Below are 17,839 nucleotides of genomic sequence, written 5' to 3'. Positions count from 1 at the left end.
AATGGAATATTATTCAGTGATCAAAATGAATGTACTATCACGCCACAAAAACACTCAGAGGAAGCTTCAATGCATTTTGCTAAATGAAAGAAACCAGTAGGAAAAAGCCACATACTGTGTGATCACAACTACAGAACATTCTGGAAAAGGCAAAACTATGGAGACAGTCAAAAGATCAGTGGTTGCCAAGAGCTTGGGCGAGACAGGGATGAATAGATGGAGGACAGGGGACTTTTACGGCCAGAAAACTATTCTGTATGATACTATAATGGTGGATATATGTCATTATGCATTTGTCAAAACCCATAGAATGCTCTAAAAACTGCTCTAAAATATATAAAAAAAGAAAAGGCTGTAAATTGGTGCCAGTCCTTCCAGCTCTTTTCATGTGGGAGCAGGCAGATTAAGAGGCAGACACTTGTGTCCAGCAGCCGTTTAGCAGAATGGCAAGAGCTGGCTTAGAGCCAGGCTGCCTGGATTCATGTCCTGGTCCTGCGTCTCCTTTGTCTTGGGGCCTTGAGCAAGTTTCTGAGCCTCTTTGCTCTTCTGTAAAATAGGTTTAATGACGATCCCTTCCTGAAGGGATACAGGATTCAATGAGTGACTCCATATAAAGCTCTTAGAACAGTCCTGTGCTCACTGAAAATCAGCTGTGCTATTTATCCTGCATTTGGTTCTGGAATTCATAACTTGTGCCTCAGAGTGGAGGAGACAAAGGTTAAGGGTAACCTCTCTAATTCAGGCTCTAGTCTTGTGGCTCTCTTGCGGTTCCCTTTGGGTACCCTGTTCCCCAGCCTGGAATGCATTGGTCTCTTTTCTACCTGGCCAAATCAGATGTCTTTCGAAGTCAAAGTTTAGATGCCACCTTCTCTAGAGCTTTCTCTGGCTGCTTTATGTAGTTACTGGCTCTGTTTTCTGCCCCCACAGCATCCTGAATAGCACTTTGGTTAAACACAGTTGTTTACCTGTCTGCTTTCCTGGCTTTGCAGGGGGAAGGCTGGGATTTAGTCACCAGTGTTTTCCCAGCAGCTAGCCCAGTGTGTGACAGATGCTGTGAATGGAATGAAAACAGAATTCCCTGCCTCCCCCAGTAATAATAGGATGCTGCCGGAAATTGAATGCTGCAAGAAATGTTGAGCTTCCTGGCATGAGATCTATTTAAGTAGAGGTGGTTGATTGCAGCTGAGGGGATTTGTGGATCAGATGAAAGTAAATCAGATGACCTCTGAGCTCCTTCCAGCTCTGTGATTCTGTGACAGTCCTTCTCTGAGTGATGCCACAGCGTGCCAGTGTCAGGATCGCCCACGCCCAGCAGATGGGGATTGTTTTTTGATGTCCTTACAGGCCAGTTTCCATGTAAAGATCGGTTAGAAACAATTTTGTTCAATTACTTTTTAAAGAAAAATTTTGATTTTATAAAATTACAAACTTAAAACTCATTTTTCTTTGAGCTTTCCATTTTAGCTAACAAAACATTATTTTGTTTATAAATCTAGCAAATTGTAACCGTGTTCAAGAGAGTCTGACTGTTTCATTAAATAATAAATGATTGCTTTATTAAGTGATTAGTTTTGTTAGAAAGTTGAGTTATATTCCTTTGAACATTTTAAACTGCATTTGTAAATGTTATATTTTCTATATCCCTTTGAAGTACTTTATTATCAGAATAACTAAGGTTGTGCCAAAGACCTGAGAGGCGACCTGAATAAGACGGGGTAGCTGGAGCATCAGTAAGGATAACTCTGCAGTGACTGAAACACGTCAAATATGTTCAAACTCTTGAGTTCATAATAACAGGAAAAAAAGGAATAAGAAAACGTATGAGTCTGTTTTCACGCTGCTGATAAAGACATACTCGACACTCGGTAATTTATAAAGAAAAAGAGGCTTCATGGACTCACAGTTCCACGTGGCTGAGGAGGCCTCACAATCATGGTGGAAGGTGAAAGACACGTCTTACATCGTGGCAGGCAAGAGAGAATGAGAGCTAAGCAAAAGGGGTTTCCCCTGACAAAACCATCAGATCTCGTGAGACTTACTCACTCCCACGAGAACAGTATGGGAGAAACCGCCCCTGTGATTCAATTGTCTCCCATTGGGTCCCTCCCACAACACATGAGAATTAGGAGAGCTACAATTCAAGATGAGATCTGGGTGGGGACACAGCCAAACCATATCAGTTACCTTTAGAGGACACTAGGGAACTGCTTCACTATCTTGAAAAAACCGGTAAAATAAAGGGAAGAACTCAAGAACTGATGCTGCCTTTCCGACGAGCTCCACCTCTCAGTGTAATTGGACATTGATGAGGGGAAGTTTCTCGTTATAACTGTGATCCAGCTATTACTCGAAGCAGGAGTGAAGGGCCGTCACCCCTTGTAGCCTCTGAGGAATCAGCCACTAGACAGGGATTGTCTGTGGCTGCCAATAGTGCAAGTGTAGCCACCAAGACATCCAGACAGTCTGCGTGTCTCTTGATGGAAACAGGCACTACCACCTATCTTTGGGTTTTAGAGGGAAAAAAAAAAAAAACAAACCTAAGTCTTATCAAGCCTCTAGATCCACGTGCCAACTTATAGGCTACACAAAAGATCAAGGAAAATGTTAAACCAAATCACAAGGATACAACAAACGATTCCCAGAAGCTGGAAAACTTTATTGGAGAAATGAACCTGACAGCAAGGGACCTATAAGGGTCCAGGACACTTAAAATCCACATCTGCCAATTTCAGCAGATGACTTTCTCAGATCCTGTTTCAGTCTGTGTGTGTGTGTGTGTGTGTGCGTGCACACAAAAATGAGTGGGGAAATATGAACCTTGATGGGATATTCGATGACATTAAGAATTAAAGTAATTTTTTAGATGTGATGGTGGTATTGTTATTTGGTTAAAAATATCTTGTTTTTGGCCAGGCGCGGTGGCTCCTGCCTATAATCCCAGGACTTTGGGAGGTGGAGGCGGGGGGATCACAAGGTTAAGAGATCGAGACCATCCTGGCCAACATGGTGAAACCCCATCTCTACTAAAGATACAAACATTGGCCGGGCGCGGTGGCTCGTGCCTGTAATCCTAGCACTTCGGGAGGCCGAGGCAGGTGGATCACCTGAGGTCAGGAGTTCGAGACCAGCCTCAACATGGAGAGACCCCGTCTCTACTAAAAATACAAAATTAGCCGGGCGTGTTGGTACATGCCTGTAATCCCAGCTACTCGGGAGGCTGAGGCAGGGGAATTGCTTGAACCTGGGAGGCGGAGGTTGCGGTGAGCCGAGATCGTGCCATTGCACTCCAGCCTGGGCAACAAGAGCGAAACTCCGTCTCAAAAAATAAAAAAATAAATAAATAAAAAATAAAGATACAAAAACTAGCTGGGCATGGTGGCGTGCACCTGTAGTCTCAGCTACTCAGGAGGCTGAGGCAGGAGAATTGCTTGAACCCAGGAGGTGGAGGTTGCACTGAGCCAAGATTGCGCCACTGCCCTCCAGCCTGGCGACAGAGCAAGACTCCATCTCAAAAAAAAAAAAAAAAAGAAAAAGAAAAAATCTTGTTTTTGAAGATAAATGGCAGTATTTGCAGATTAAATTACATGATGTTTGGGATTTGCTTCAAATAATTTCGGGGGAAGGATGAGCTTAGTGGGTGGGAATATGGAAGAAACAAGATTACCCATGAATGGAGAATTGTTGAAACCGGGTTTATTACACTCTGGCCTCTCTTTTTGTGTACGTTTGAAGTTTACCAAAACAAAAACTTTTTAAAAATTCCTTCATCTAATAACACAAACCCTCCCAAATATTAGGTACTACTTGAAAAATGAATAAACTAAAGAATAAACTCATGTTTGTAAGATTTTAAATTTCCAATCACAAGTCTAAATTACTCAGCTACATATTTTGAAGTGGAGCCCTGAGACAAATCATCTTAAACATTATAAATAATTAAAGTACCAAAAGTGCTCAGATTTTTCTAAATACAGATTATTCTCTTAGGGTTTCGTTTCTCAAACATGTTTATATGACACTAACCCACCAAAGAATCAAATATGTAGTCCCATACAGTTTGGCATTACCTTGCTAAGCAATTGCTGGGCTTGTCTTCTCAGTGGACCGAGGATTCTCGATGACCAACAAGACCTTGGCCAATATGCCAACTGGGCCCTTGCCCAGGACAGAATAGACAGACATCCCGAGTGCTCTTTGGAGTTGCTGTGGCAATGCCTTCCAAATGAAGTCTGGCAGCCAGGCCTGTGGGTTGCAGTCCTGGCATTACCTAATTTTCTTTTTTATTATTCTTGGAAGTTTGTAACTTCCACTAAGAGAATAACTAATGGCCTTTGTGCTTTGGTTGGTTTTGCATTTCATTGGTTTTGAAAAGATGCTTAAATGGCTTCCTGGCCAGCTCCAAAGACTTTTAAACTTGAGGGAGCTTTCTGTCTGTGCTAGGGCTTTGCCTGACCCTGCAAAGAAAGCCATTCTAAGGAAGCATGCTGTTCGAACATTTGCAGGTTCTGTCTCATGCCATGTGAGCCGAGCTGCGCATTACAGCTCATTAGTGGGCCCTGAGTCAGGCGAGTGATTCACAGTCAGCATTTAAACGCGTAATAGAATTGAATGGAAAAAGTTGAACTGCATTATGAATTGTAAGGAAAATATTTTTCAAAACTTGTTTTTCATTTATATGTATGTAAATATAAATGAGTTTCTTATTGTGGGTCACTATGAAATCTGCCACTTCAACGTGAGGTCGGGAAAACTGGGAGCACCCAGCACATGAACAAGAGCAAGAATGAATCCTGAATTGAGAGTGAGGAGGCTGGCCCCAAACCAAGCAAACACCAGAATGCAACCTTGCTTAAAACAAACAAGAGCTACAAAAATAGAGCAAGTGGTGGCTCCTTAGGGGAGGGACAAATTTAGTGGAGGAACAAATGATTGTTGCTAAAGACATGGACTGCGGCATTTTATTCTGTAACTTGTGTCTTTTATGTCTGTTCCATCTTTCTATGCTCCTAATTCACCACTCCCTTTTGGTAGCACAGTGCTTGGTGCAATTAGGCAATCAATAAATATTTATTAGATGCAAATACTAGTAATCAAACCACCTGTTTCAGGGGGCCTGGGAGGAGGAGCCTGGGGCCTGGGAATCTACATTTTAACAAGTTTTCCAGGCAGCCAACCTGGCAGCAGTTGCAGACTGTTATTTAAGAAACACTGACCTAGTCCACCTGCTCATTTTGCTGGCCCAGGCCATACAAACAGCATTTGAACCAGTGAGAGCTTGGGTTGGCCACCTTCTGGTGGAGGGCTCTACCCACCACGTCACCCAGCATCTCATGTTGATCTGCTTTTCACCAAACATACTGCATGACCTTCTAGTAGGTGGTCTGGACTCCATGCTTCCTCCCTACCCCGTCACATCCTTCCTGTTGCCCTCAGACATTTCCCTAAATCACCCATCATTTCACTTCCCTGCTCTATACCTTTGACTTTCTCTCTATTGTTTGTAGCATAAGACTTACTGCGCATTCTGCTTGACACAGTCTTCCCTGATCCTATCTCCCCAATCTTGTCTCTCTGCCAGTCTCTGAACCCTCTTCTTTTGCTTTCTCTTCCTGCTGAGGCACCCCAGATTACTTGATGTGCCACAGGTACCTCACCCTTTCCTGAGTCTGATCTTTGGTTCATGTTGTATTCTCTAATTGGAGGAGCCTCTATTTTCATCTGAGTTGCATCCACCTCCCCAGACCCAGTTAAGTGCCGCTTCTATAAAAACTTCCCAGCCGGGCGTTGTGGCTTGTGCCTGTAATCCCAGCACTTTGGGAGGCCAAGGCCGGCGGATCACCTGAAGTCAGGAGTTTGAGACCAGCCTGGCCAACACGGTGAAACCCTGTCTGTACTAAAAATACAAATAAATTAGCTGGGCGTGGTGGCAGACACCTATATTTCCAGCTACTTGGGCGGCTGAGGCAGGAGAATTGCTTGAACCTGAGAGGAGAAGGTTGCAGTGAGCCAAGATCGTGCCACTGCACTCCAGCCTGGGTGGCAAGAGTGAAACTCCATCTCAAAAAAAAAAAAAAAAAAACAAAAAACAAACAAACCCAAAAAACCAATTAAAAAAAAAAAACCATTCCCTGCTTTGGAGCGAATCCATCCTCCCTCTCCCTGTGCCTCTCCTTGTTCTCTGCACATTTCTGTGACAACACCTAAGCCTTGCCTGCCTTGGACTTTGTGAGCTTGGCCTGTGTTTGTCTGATGAGAAAGCAAGTTTGCAGAAGGCAGTATTCGTGTGTTCTTTACTTCTCTTTATAGCCTTGCAAACAGTCTTAAACATTTATTAAATTAATTTTTCTATGAGTTCTGATTCTATCAAAGTTAATATTCATTGGCAGCTTGGCCAATTAACTTGTGTAAACAGACCTCTAATCTCATGTGAAGGCTCAACGCTCTTTGTGATTTCTTTACAAACACACCCAAAAAAAGCACTGCAGGGTTTGTGTGCTGCTCACGGTCAATAATTTTTAGTTTGTTTCCCTGCAGAGAGGAGGTAGACAGGTAGCAAAAGGGGAGCATGATCTTAAAGCGAAAGAGTTAGCAAAGTGGATCTTCAATAACTGCTTTTTTTTTTTTTTTTTTTTTTTTTTTTTGAGACAGAATCTCACTCTCTCACCAGGCTGGAGTGCAGTGGTGCGATCTTGGCTCACTGCAACCTCCGCCTCCCAGGTTCAAGTGATTCTCCTGCTTCAGACTCGGAGTAGCTGGGACTGCAGGCGCACGCCACCATGCCTGGCTAACTTTTGTATTTTTAGTAGAGACGGGGTTTCACCATGTTGGCCAGGATGGTCTCAATCTCTTGACCTTGTGATCCGCCTGCCTCGGCCTCCCAAAATGCTGGGATTACAGGTGTGAGCCACCACGCCCGGCCAATAACTGCTGTTTTTAAGAGACGAGGGTGGGAGTAGTTAGAGAAGTGAATAGGGCGTAAATGAAAACACAAGACAGGGTGGTGACTAAAGGGCCTCTGTAGTGCAGCCCATCCGTGTCTGTTAGAGAGCCCTGCAGCTTGGCTCTGCAGCCCATCCTAACTCTGTTTCAGGTCACTTCCATTCTCCATCGGCTATTGGAGAAGCCCAGCACTAGGAGCAATATTTTGGTCTATGCCTGAGATAGCAAATCCTCTGCCCGAAATTGGAGGGTAGAGCAGAAAGCTTAGCACAAAAGCGCGCAGGCTCAGACACTTTCATTTTGCTGACTTTGATGCCTATTAAATAACTTTCATGCAGTCACACTGGGGTGATTTTGGAAAGTGAAATCATGCCAGGCACAGTGGCTCACGCCTGTAATCCTAGCACTTTGGGAGGCCGAGGTGGGTGGATCGCTTGAGGACAGGAGTTCGTGATGAGCCTGGCCAACATGGCGAAACCCTGTCTCTACTAAAAATACAAAAATGAGCTTGGCGTGGTGGCTCATGCCTATAATCCCAGCTACTTGCGAAGCTGAGGCAGGAGAATCACTTGAACCAGGGAGGCAGAGGTTGCAGTGAGCCGAGGTAGTGCCACTGCACTCCAGCCTGGGCAACAGAGCGAGACTCTGTCTCAAAAAAAAAAAAAAAAAGTGAAATCATTATTGAATACCTTTTTTGTTTCTGTGGCAGGAAGTAAACCCAATTTTGAAAAGGTTAAAAATCCTCAAATTGAAATACTGATTTGTGTTTCGCTGTTGCAGGTTCCTTGCATTGACTCCATGGAGAGTATATCACCTGATTTCCGTCATGATACTTGGGCGTGTTATTATGCAAATAATAAAGGATATGGTTTTGTCTAGAACAAGAGGTAAGAATACTCAGATTTTATTTATATGGTATTTAATTTTCTAGACCCTGCATTTCTGATCTTTGTGTAGGCATATTAGCCAATTAGTCCTTTGAACAGAAGCAAATATAGGCATTGACTTAGCTGTTTTCAATACGATAATTTATTGAGGTGGTGCTGTCTTTGTAGCTACTGCTTGTAGGTAAAAGGTTTGTGTGTGCTGGTTTTTCTCTTGGTCTTAAGAGCTATTTTAAATACCACGTTGGTATTTAAGTAGGCTGCAGTGAGGATAACAGTTAAATATTTATTACATCTCACATGATGAAACTGGGCCACTGGAAAATGGACTAGTTTATGTAAAAATTTTCTCTGCCTCAATGAAGAAAAACAACTAATTCAGGGTTTAAAAGCAAGCGATGGTTAAATAATTTTAAAAAATGAGTTGATAATAAAAAATGAATAAATTTTAACATTAAGTTTAAAAGCAAGAGCTTGGTTTAAAAAAAAAAAAAATTGGCCTGAGGTGCTTTTTGGGTAATTTAACTGTATTACAAATCTGACTCAAGTCTTTTGCATACTTGGAGGGGCCTCTTGTACCACTGTTCGAGCTAGTTTTTGTAAACTTGGGAAAAGCCCTCCTGAGAATAATTAAGCCCCATAAACTTAAATGTAATGAGATAGATTTTATCAGAAATAGCCACCAGGAGGTTACAAAGAGACATTTAATTTCACTAAATGCACCCCAAATGGAGGGATGCTTTTGGTGGAGGTCCGTGTGGACTGATGTGCATCAGAGCTGCCTGGATTATAGTCCTGGCAGGGATATCTAGGCCTGCCCTATGGGAGGCACCCATCTCCTCCCTGATGGCAACTAGAAGCCAGCGATGTCAGCTGGTACGGATTTACTATCATGGTGTTCTAGGGATCTGCTTGAAATCCAGTTATAAGTCTTTACAGTTTTTAAACTCATCATGTAAACCATCTTTAGATTGTTTTATATTCGTGTGTTTCCAGGTTTGAAGATATTTCCTTCCCAAGATTCCAGGAAGGCAAACAAATTTGGTTTTGTGCCCTTAGTGCTTTCTGTGAATCTGTGGATTTCAGTTGTATTCTTCAATGCACTTTTCCTTCTCTCCCTTTTTTCCCTCTCTCTCCATCTTCACTTTCCTTTTTTCTGTTTCAGGGAACAGACACCTAACTCCCCAATTTCAGCCCAAACAGGCACTTGTTGTGATACTTGTTTACCACACACGTATCCAGGCTGCCTTGAGGTGGGGCATCTCCATGCATCAGGGTTTCATGCCAGAGTTGGTCTGTGGATCAGTCCTTGATGATTCTTATTTATCTGCCTTGACTCATATCTGGTAGAGCAGAGCCTGTTTTCCTAAATAGACAGTAATATGTTCACCCTCTACAGGAACTCCCTCAGGGAAATCTCAGGACATAAAGCCACTCATACATTTTATCTGCAACCATTTTATCTTGGTGTAGAGTAAGCTAAACATGGACCCAGGAAGCAAGCTGAGCATCTGAGTGTTTTCAGTGTTTCCTCAAATTTGGCCCTAGTCTGGGCACAAGTTATAAGGAATAGACATGTGTGGAAGGCCAAAGGCAAAGCTGAAAGACTTTGCAACTGTCTTTTTCTCACTCCTGGCCCCTCACACACAGATCGTTTCCGCTGTTGACTCATGGGCTTGATATTCATGCAGATGTGGAAATTTCATACTCACAAATTGCAGGAAACCTTTACATTGCAAGAATTCAGTCCTTTAAAAAAATTAAGGTAGTAGAATAGAAAGAATGCCAGCCTAAAGGGCCTCATTTTTGAGCTAGTTCATTCCATTTCCTACCTGTGGAGAAGCCCCATGATAGACTGCATTTGTTTCTGTGGCTGTTGTAATAAATGACCACAAACCTGGTGTTTCAAAACAGCAGAAACATCTTCTCTTAAAGTTCTGAAGGACAGTAGTCCGAAGTCAGTGTCACTGGGCCCAAATCAAAGCGTTGGCAGGGCTGCATTCCCTCTGGAGTCTCTAAGGAAGGATCCATTCCTTGCCTCTTGCAGCTCCTGGGAGTTGCGGGCATTCCATGGCTTGCAGCCGCATCACTGCAATCTGTTTTCATGCTCACCTGACCTTCTCTTCTGTCTATGTCAAACTTCTCCATCTTCCTCTTGTAAGTACACTTACGATTGCATTTGGGGCCTACCTAGATAATCCAGTGTGATTTTCTCATCTCACATTTCTTAACCTAATCACCTCAGCAGAGACCCTTTTTCCACTTGAAGTGACAATCATGGATTCCAGGGATTGTGACTTGGTATCTTTGTGAGCTATGAGTCAGCCTCCTATACCATCTGAACCTCTCTGTCCTGTGAAATGGCAGAAAACATCCTCATACCACAGGGCTTTATAAGAGGTCAATAAAAGCGTCAAATAGAAGGGCCTTCAGCACAGTAGCTGTCTACTTCGCCCAGCTGACATGTCATCAGGGCCACATGGGGTTTGTGTGTTCCTGGGTCAGTCCGTGTTGAGCCCCTTTCTGTGCTGAGGCCCAACCTGGGTGCTGGGCTCCCTGTGGGGAACCAGACCTCTGTCGAGGCAGAGCCTCCCTGCAATCCTGTAGATCAGGCCGTTGTCCAAGGACAGGCTTTCAGTCTTCACCGGATGACAGTGCTCTGAGTGTAGCATTTCTACTGCATGAAAAATTAAAAAAAAAAAAAAAAAAAAGAAAGAAATGGGAATGATTACTCTGTCTTCCTAGAGCTCTGTTTTCTGTGCTGAAGAAACTCTGGTGCCAGCTTCATCCTCCTTCAGTAGAGTCTCTTAGGACAAAGGCCCATTGGGGAGCCCTGTGAATAGTTGGCAGCAGTCCCATCTCGCAGGCCTCCTAGCGCAGGGTGCTGCTGCTGCGATGAATCAGTCTCTGCAGGGCACAGTTTGGCTTCACGTTAGATCCAGATGCAGTTACGGTAACTCCATGGCGTCAATCAGAACTGCCAGCTGCTCTTGTTAGATGCCCCGGCTTATAGCAACGACAATGACAATGAAAGGACGACCAAGTCAGCAGTCTCCTCTCCTTCCCTCTCTTCCAGCTTCTCTGCTTCCCACGTTTTCTCGCTAAAAATATGAAACTTTTATTGTTGAGAGTTTAATTGTATCCTTCCCCCAGTTATTATTTTTGTTTTATTCTCTTAGAAAATTTTTAAGTGTACAGTATTGTTTCCCGTGCATGTTGTTGTATAGCAGATCCCTAGAGCGTTTTCATCTTTGATGACTGCAACTCTGTTCCCATTGAACAGCCAAGTCCCCCTTTCCCCTGTTCCCCCTTCCTCCAGCCCCTGGCAACTACCATTCTACTTTCTGCTTCTATGACTTTGACGACTCCCAGTTACAATCTTTGATACCATCTTAGGTGCTTAATATGAAATAGATGGATGAGGCCGGGTGCAGTGGCTCATGCCTCCGCATGACCTCAGCACTTTGGAAGGCCGAGGCAGGTGGATCACTTGAGGTCAGGAGTTTGAGACCAGCCTGGTCAACATGGTGAAACCCTGTCTCTACTAAAAATACAAAAAATTAGCCGGGCGTGGTGGTGGGCACCTGTAATCCCAGCTACTGAAGAGGCTGAGGCAGGAGAATCACTTGAACCCAGGAGGCAGAGGTTGCAGTGAGCTGAGATCACGTCATTGCACTCCAGCCTCGGTGACAGAGTGAGACTCCATCTCAAAAAAAAAAAAAAAGTCAGTGATATCATCTTGTGAGTGAATGTTTGTGAAACCTGTGGGAGCCCATGTCTATTTTGTATTGCCTGTGAACATCCTCTCGCTGGGATGGATTTCTCTCTCTCCCTCTCTTTGTCATTGTTATGTACCTTGAGTGTGTGCTTCCCTGCGTTAATGCCTTTGTCTGAACTCTGGGGAACTCTTCTATGGCCTGGAAAACTCCTCCTGCATCCTGAAACTTTTCCATGACTAGCTTCATTCTCTCTCATTGAGATAGAACCAGTCATATCTGCCCCCCGCTTTCTTTTCTGTTTGTTTGTTTGTTTATTTTTAGAATTGGGGTCTCACTGTGTTGCCCAGGCTGGAGTGCAGTGGTGTGATCATAGCTCACTGCAGCCTCGAGCTCCTGGGTCAAGTGATCCTCCTACCTCAGACTCCTGAGTGGCTAGGACTACAGGTGCATGCCACCACACTTGGCTAATTTTCTTTTTTAATTTTTGTAGAGATGGGGTCTTGCTGTGTTACCCAGGCTGGTTTTAAACTCCTGGCCTCAAGTGATCCCCCCGTTTTGGCCTCCCAAAGCACTGGAATTACAGGTGTGAGTCAGCGTGCCTGCCCCCCAGCTCTCTTGAAGATCTTCTCTAGCTACTGCCCTGTGCTGTGGGAGGAGGGCTCAGTGGGTGGCTCTGAGGCTCCCCCAGCCACCTGTGGAGCATCTGTAACCACTGCTGCTTTATACTTTCCTTCCTGTGAAATCTACACTGTCCATTGATGCCTGGCCTCAGCACCCTGGTTGCCATCAACTGTGGTCTCAGTAGGGATTGTGGCCCATGAACTGCAGTCCTTCGTGCACTCACCATTCTCTGTCATTCCAACTTGTACTCTGATAGCTTGTCAGATGGCCTGGATTTGGTTGCCTATCAGGTAGCCTCATCTTTGACCTTGGCCTTTGGAAGCACAGTGTCTCCAAGACCTGCAGAGTCTGCGAGTTAGTTCTCAGTGCACCCTGTCTCCACTCCTCCCTGGCCTTTCATGCCTGTTGAACCAGCTCTTTGACTCTTGGATGGACTCTTTCCCTGCTAAGTCTCTTGCCACTTGTACTGTTCTTCAGCCCTGCCTTTAGACTGACTTCCTCCCTCTACTCAGCTCCTACCTGGTCCATGCTCAATGACTACAGAGATGCTGTCCTTACCATTCTAAAGGTCCTTGTTTCCTTATCCATCAGCTATACTCATTTCTTTACTTTTTAATAATAAAACAAACAAGCCAATGCCCATCCTATACCATCATCTACTTTCTCCACTCTTGGCTCCAGGATTGTTAGAGAATTGTCAAATGACAAGCTGAGCTGATGCTTTCCAACTTTCCAACTTTAGTTGAAACCTTATTATTGCTCACAGTCCCCTGCATTCTTTTGAGTTCTCCATTTGTTTTTATATGCCACCTTCCTCCAACAAGTTTGAAGAAGCTTATTTGGAACATAAGCACAAAACTGTTCAAAAGAGGTCTAGAAGAGGAGCAAGAGTCTAACCTGGTAACCACTGATTGATCAACAGATTTATCCACATGCATATTGGCAGCCAAGGCAAAAAGGAAAACCACATCAATTGCACAATTCTAATTATTTGAAAAAAATGAAGCAAGCAATTTTGAGACACTTATTTCTGGAAGTAAAGGTTAAGAAGGATTTATCCCATAGCTCTCGATAGGGGATATTGAAAAACATAAGGGACAACACATTTGGCTTTTTGTTAGATGGAAAATGCGGAAGCTTCCTCATGATCATTTCTTACATTGAGCTGCATTAAAGCTGGTAGCTGGGAGTATAATATCAAGATGTAGTCAAATAAAGACATTGGTTGGAAAATTAAGAAAGCAAATTAGATCTAGGTGTGCATATGTATATATGTGTGTGTGTGTGTATTTTATGTTTTATATTGATTTCATTTGCACCTACCTAAAAGTCAAAACATCTAAACAATGAATAGATAAAAATCTCCTTTTTTCAAATAACAGTTGTCTTAGTTCTCCTTTTGTCGGCACCATGTCAAGACTCACCTTAAATGCCATTTCTATTATTGGCGCTTTTTGAGCAGCTGCATTTTCTCTCTTCCCTGAACTCACATGGTGTGTGCCTCCCTCTTGTGTAGTTAGTTCCTATACTGCCTATCTTGGTTCATATTTACTTGGGTTCATATTTTGTCTGCCCCAGGGGACAATGAAGTCCCCGAGGCAGGGTCCATGTATTATAGAGTGTCCTATCTCCCACGGTACTCACCCAAGTGTTTTACATGTAGTAGGATCTCAATAAGTATATGTGGACGAATTGCCTGAATTAGCCATGGTGCCAGCAGTGTACACTGTATGACTTGATGGTGTCCTGAGTGTTAGAGATCTGAGCATTCCACTTTAAATAGCTTGGACTAGTTCAGAGTTGAGAAATATTTCAGGAGAAAAATACCTCTGTTAAGTTTCACATTTTGCTTCTCCCTGTTGCAGGTGCACAGTTGTGGAGAAGCCTCAGTGAAAGGTAGGGAACTTTCTTTCCGTGTTGTGCTTAATGGAGGGAGGGTGAGGGAGGGGACTGAGCCACCAAGATGTAGCTCTGAAATAGAATTTTAGTGACAGGAATCTAAATCCAAGAGTAATTTACCAGAGTGGGAAAATGAAGAAAAATACCATCAATCGGAGGCCAAGGATGAAGTTGGGACTCATTCTAGGAAGTGCTGTGTATCTTGCTATGATACTGGGCAACATGAATTTGTGAGAATCATGTGTGAGGATTTGGAAGGGAGGGGAGGGAGGCATTTTCTTTTGGGATTTCCTTTCAGACTCATTTTTGGGATGTGAACAAAACTGCTGTATTGGGAGAACAGGGCTGCATGCACTCAGTTGGAGAAGGCTGCTGGAATGTTCCCGAGGGTTAGCCATGCTGTCAGTTCAGAGGACTGTGGGGTGGGGGAGACACAGAGATAGGGTGAGAGGCTGTGAGGTGTGAGGGTGCAGGAGATGCTGACTGCCAGTGGGCTCCTTGCCCAGCCAGAGGCAAACCTCAGCTCTCTTTTTATGGAAGGTCCATCATTCATCCATTCTATGGTAAAGGGGCTGTTTCCAAATGGACAAGGAAAGGGCTGGGGCAGTTGATTGAGGGGACCACAGTGCACTCTACCAACTGGGTGTATGAGAGGCGGGAAAATGAGGGGAGTATGGGGATTAATATTGCAGTAAGATGAATTTTTGTAGGAATTGATTTTTTAAATTTCTGCCTTAAAATATATTTGTATTACTTAAAAACGATGGCTGAGGAACCTGACTTGTATCTAAGTGGGCATCACAAAATGAATTGTACAAAAGGAGGACAAAATAATGCCATGAAAAATCTTATAAAAAATCACCCTGTATTTTATGTAACGCACCTTTGGAAGCTGTGCTTATGCAAATAAGGCTTATTTCAGCTGGAAAGGTTAATTTCATGATCTGTTTACAACTGCTTGCTTGTTCCTTCATTTCAAATCCCAGATTTTCATGGGCAGGATGCAGACTTGCCAAGAGACTCAGGAGAGAGGGTGACATTGGATATAAGAAGAGAAACGTGATCCCTGGTGCTTCTCGTGGAGGTGGCGGGCAGCCTGGGAGGGGTGGGCTGGCCCCAGGGAAGAGCTGGCATAGGCTCTGGTAGGCATTTGTCTTGCCCTGTGCTCTGATCTGTGTGCTGCGCATAGGCAGGTTAAGGTTCTCTTTCTATTTTATAGAAACTTGCTTGTGGGAATGTCAAGATAAAGAGAACCTTAAATTACTCTTTTGAGATAGGGAAACAGTCATGTGTTTGGAATGGATTAAAATGTGTTTTGGGTTTTGCTGTCTATCTGCTTCATGCTCCAAGTGCTTTTTCTACATTGTCATCTTTTAGGGAAATCATTTAAATAAAAAACTGTAAGAGAACGTCTCAGCTGGAAATAGGATCTGATTTATGCAGTATAATGTTGGAAATCAGTAAAAGACATCTATGAAGACAAGGAATTTCATACATAGTTTGTTCAGTATGAGTTTTTAGAATTATTTTAAATTGCAATTATGCACAGGCAATAATTTTCTTTACTGATAGAGTTTTATCAGTAGTAAAGAGGAGGATAAAGAAGAGAATGAAAAGCAAACTGAGAATTTAAAATCTGATTCCTAAGCAGAAAATACATTTCTGACCCAGCAGTTGTATAAATACAGTTGTATAAATAGAGCAGACAAGAAATACTGCTTAAGTTTTAGATTTCTTTTAAAAAGGAATAACAAAAAAGTTTGTATTCATATAATAAAATAATTTGTGTAATTGGAAACAGAAATTTAAGATATATTGTCAATGGATATGATGACATAATTTCTACAATCATGACAAAATATGTACAGTGACTCACTTAAGAAAGTTTCCTCTTTTCTTTTCCAGTATCTTAATTAACCCAACAAGTAAGGTTTGAAATACATGGAAAAAAAAGATTTATATTTTTAGGCCTAATTGATAGAAATAAAGATTAATTTTCAAAAAACTTTTCAATAAAAACAATTTCTATCTAGTAATATAAATACATTTTACCCACACAGGTCATCTTCTAAGACCAAATCTTCCTAAATTAATTGGTTAATTTAGGAATTAATAATATGATAAAGGATAGGAACTGGGATAGGGTGAGCATGGCTCTCATTTTTGTTTGCCAGCTCCATGTTTGTTAAAGACATTTACAGGCCAGGCACGGTGGCTTACATTTGTAATCCCAGAAATTTGGGAGGCCAAGGTGGGCAGATTGCTTGAGCCCAGGAGTTTGAGACCAGCCTGGGCAATGGTAGGGAGACCCTAACTCTACAAAAAAATACAAAAATTAGCTGGGCATGGTGGCGCATGCATGTAAATTGAGCTACTTGGGAGGCTGAGGTGGGAGAATCTCTTGAACCCAGGAGGCAGAGGTTGCAGTGAGCGGAGATCACGCCACTGCACTCCAGCCTGGGCAACAGAGCGAGACCTTGTCTTAAAAAATAACATAAAATAAATTAAAGACATTTACTTTGTTCCTACAGAAATGTGTAGGCTCTGAGGAGTGATTCCTGCTAACTAAAGCTCTAAGACAAAGATTTGTAAGTATGAGTGAGAGGGATCTTGCTCTGCTAAGGAATTAAACTGTTCAGTGGGTTTGAATCTTGCATTAGTTGGTTCTCTCACACAGGCGTTATTTTTAAAAACAGTTTTAGATTTACAGAAAATTGAGAAGACAGTACAGACTTTCCATACACTCCCCACCTCCTGGAAACAGTCCCCCCCATCCCCCCATTAATAGCATCCTACATTGGTGTGGTACAATCAATGAAGCAATAGCTAATTTATTCTTATTAACTAAAGTCCATGCTTTATTCCGATTTCCTTAGTTCTTACCTAATGTCACTTTTGTGTTTCAGGATCCCATCTAGGATCCCACATTGCATTTATTTGTCATGTCCCTTTAAGCTCCTCTTAGCTGTTCCAGTTTTTGAGATTTCCTTTGTTTTGGTTGATATGGGCAGTTTTGAGGTGTACTAGTCATTGATGCCTCCTCTTGAAATTTGTCTGATGTTTTTCTCATGATTAGATTGGGGGTATGTGTTTTTGGGAGAAAAATTTCAGAGGTAAAATGTCATTTTCATCATCCTATCAAGGGTACAAGCCATCGACATGTGTTATGACTGAAGTAGTGTTTGTCAGGTATCTCTAAGTTGGTTCTCTTAAGCAGGAGAGTCTATTGGGGAAACTGACTTAAGATCTGAAGGCTGTTGATGAGAACAGCCAGGGATTTGGATGTTTGCTGAAGATGGCACCCTTAAGGCACACAGGCCCTAGGCATGTATCCACCTCAGGGCTGGCAGTTTGGAGCCTGTGTCCTAGTCCTGCCCACCACAGATATCCTGGGCTGCCTTGGGTAAGTGTCTTAAGCTTTCTTTCTTTCTTTTTCTTTTTTTTGAGACAGAGTTTCACTCTTGTTGCCCAGGCTGGAGTGCAATGGCGCGATCTCAGCTCACTGCAACCTCCGCCTCCTGGGTTCAAGCCATTCTCCTGCCTCAGCCTCCCGAGTAGCTGGGATTATAAGCATGTGCCACCACGCCTGGCTAATTTTGTATTTTTACTAGAGATGGGGTTTCTCCATGTTGGTTAGGCTGATCTCGAACTCCCGACCTCAGGTGATCTGCCTGCCTTTGGCATCCCAAAGTGCTGGGATTACAGGCATGAGCCACTGTGCCCGGCAGTGTCTTAAGCTTTGTATGCCTGGGTTACCTCATTTGTCAGGCAAGGAAA

General features: G+C 43.1%; 1 protein-coding gene across 2 annotated transcripts in view, besides 1 other annotated feature; it reads left to right on the top strand.

The window, feature by feature from the left end:
* RETREG1 (reticulophagy regulator 1) overlaps positions 1-17,839 on the top strand; it is a 143,945-nt gene that overhangs the window by 37,176 nt on the left and 88,930 nt on the right. For both annotated transcript variants that reach the window (NM_001034850.3, XM_011514053.4), the window contains exons 2-3: positions 7,720-7,826; positions 14,029-14,059. In NM_001034850.3, the coding sequence (NP_001030022.1) occupies positions 7,720-7,826; positions 14,029-14,059 (138 nt within the window). The remainder of the gene's footprint in view (positions 1-7,719; positions 7,827-14,028; positions 14,060-17,839) is intronic.
* Positions 4,135-4,699: an enhancer, noted in NCBI's record as "OCT4-NANOG hESC enhancer chr5:16575232-16575796 (GRCh37/hg19 assembly coordinates)". NCBI's record gives its function as "activates a minimal SCP1, AML or CMV promoter by ChIP-STARR-seq in primed H9 embryonic stem cells {active_cell/tissue: H9 hESC(primed)}" and the evidence as "EXISTENCE:reporter gene assay evidence [ECO:0000049][PMID:30033119]".

The sequence above is a fragment of the Homo sapiens genome, chromosome 5, assembly GCF_000001405.40.
Source record: "Homo sapiens chromosome 5, GRCh38.p14 Primary Assembly".
In the NCBI taxonomy this organism is placed as follows: Eukaryota; Metazoa; Chordata; class Mammalia; order Primates; family Hominidae; genus Homo; species Homo sapiens.
The sequence above is the reverse complement of the archived record's forward strand: the minus strand, read 5'-3'. Positions and strand labels throughout refer to the sequence as shown.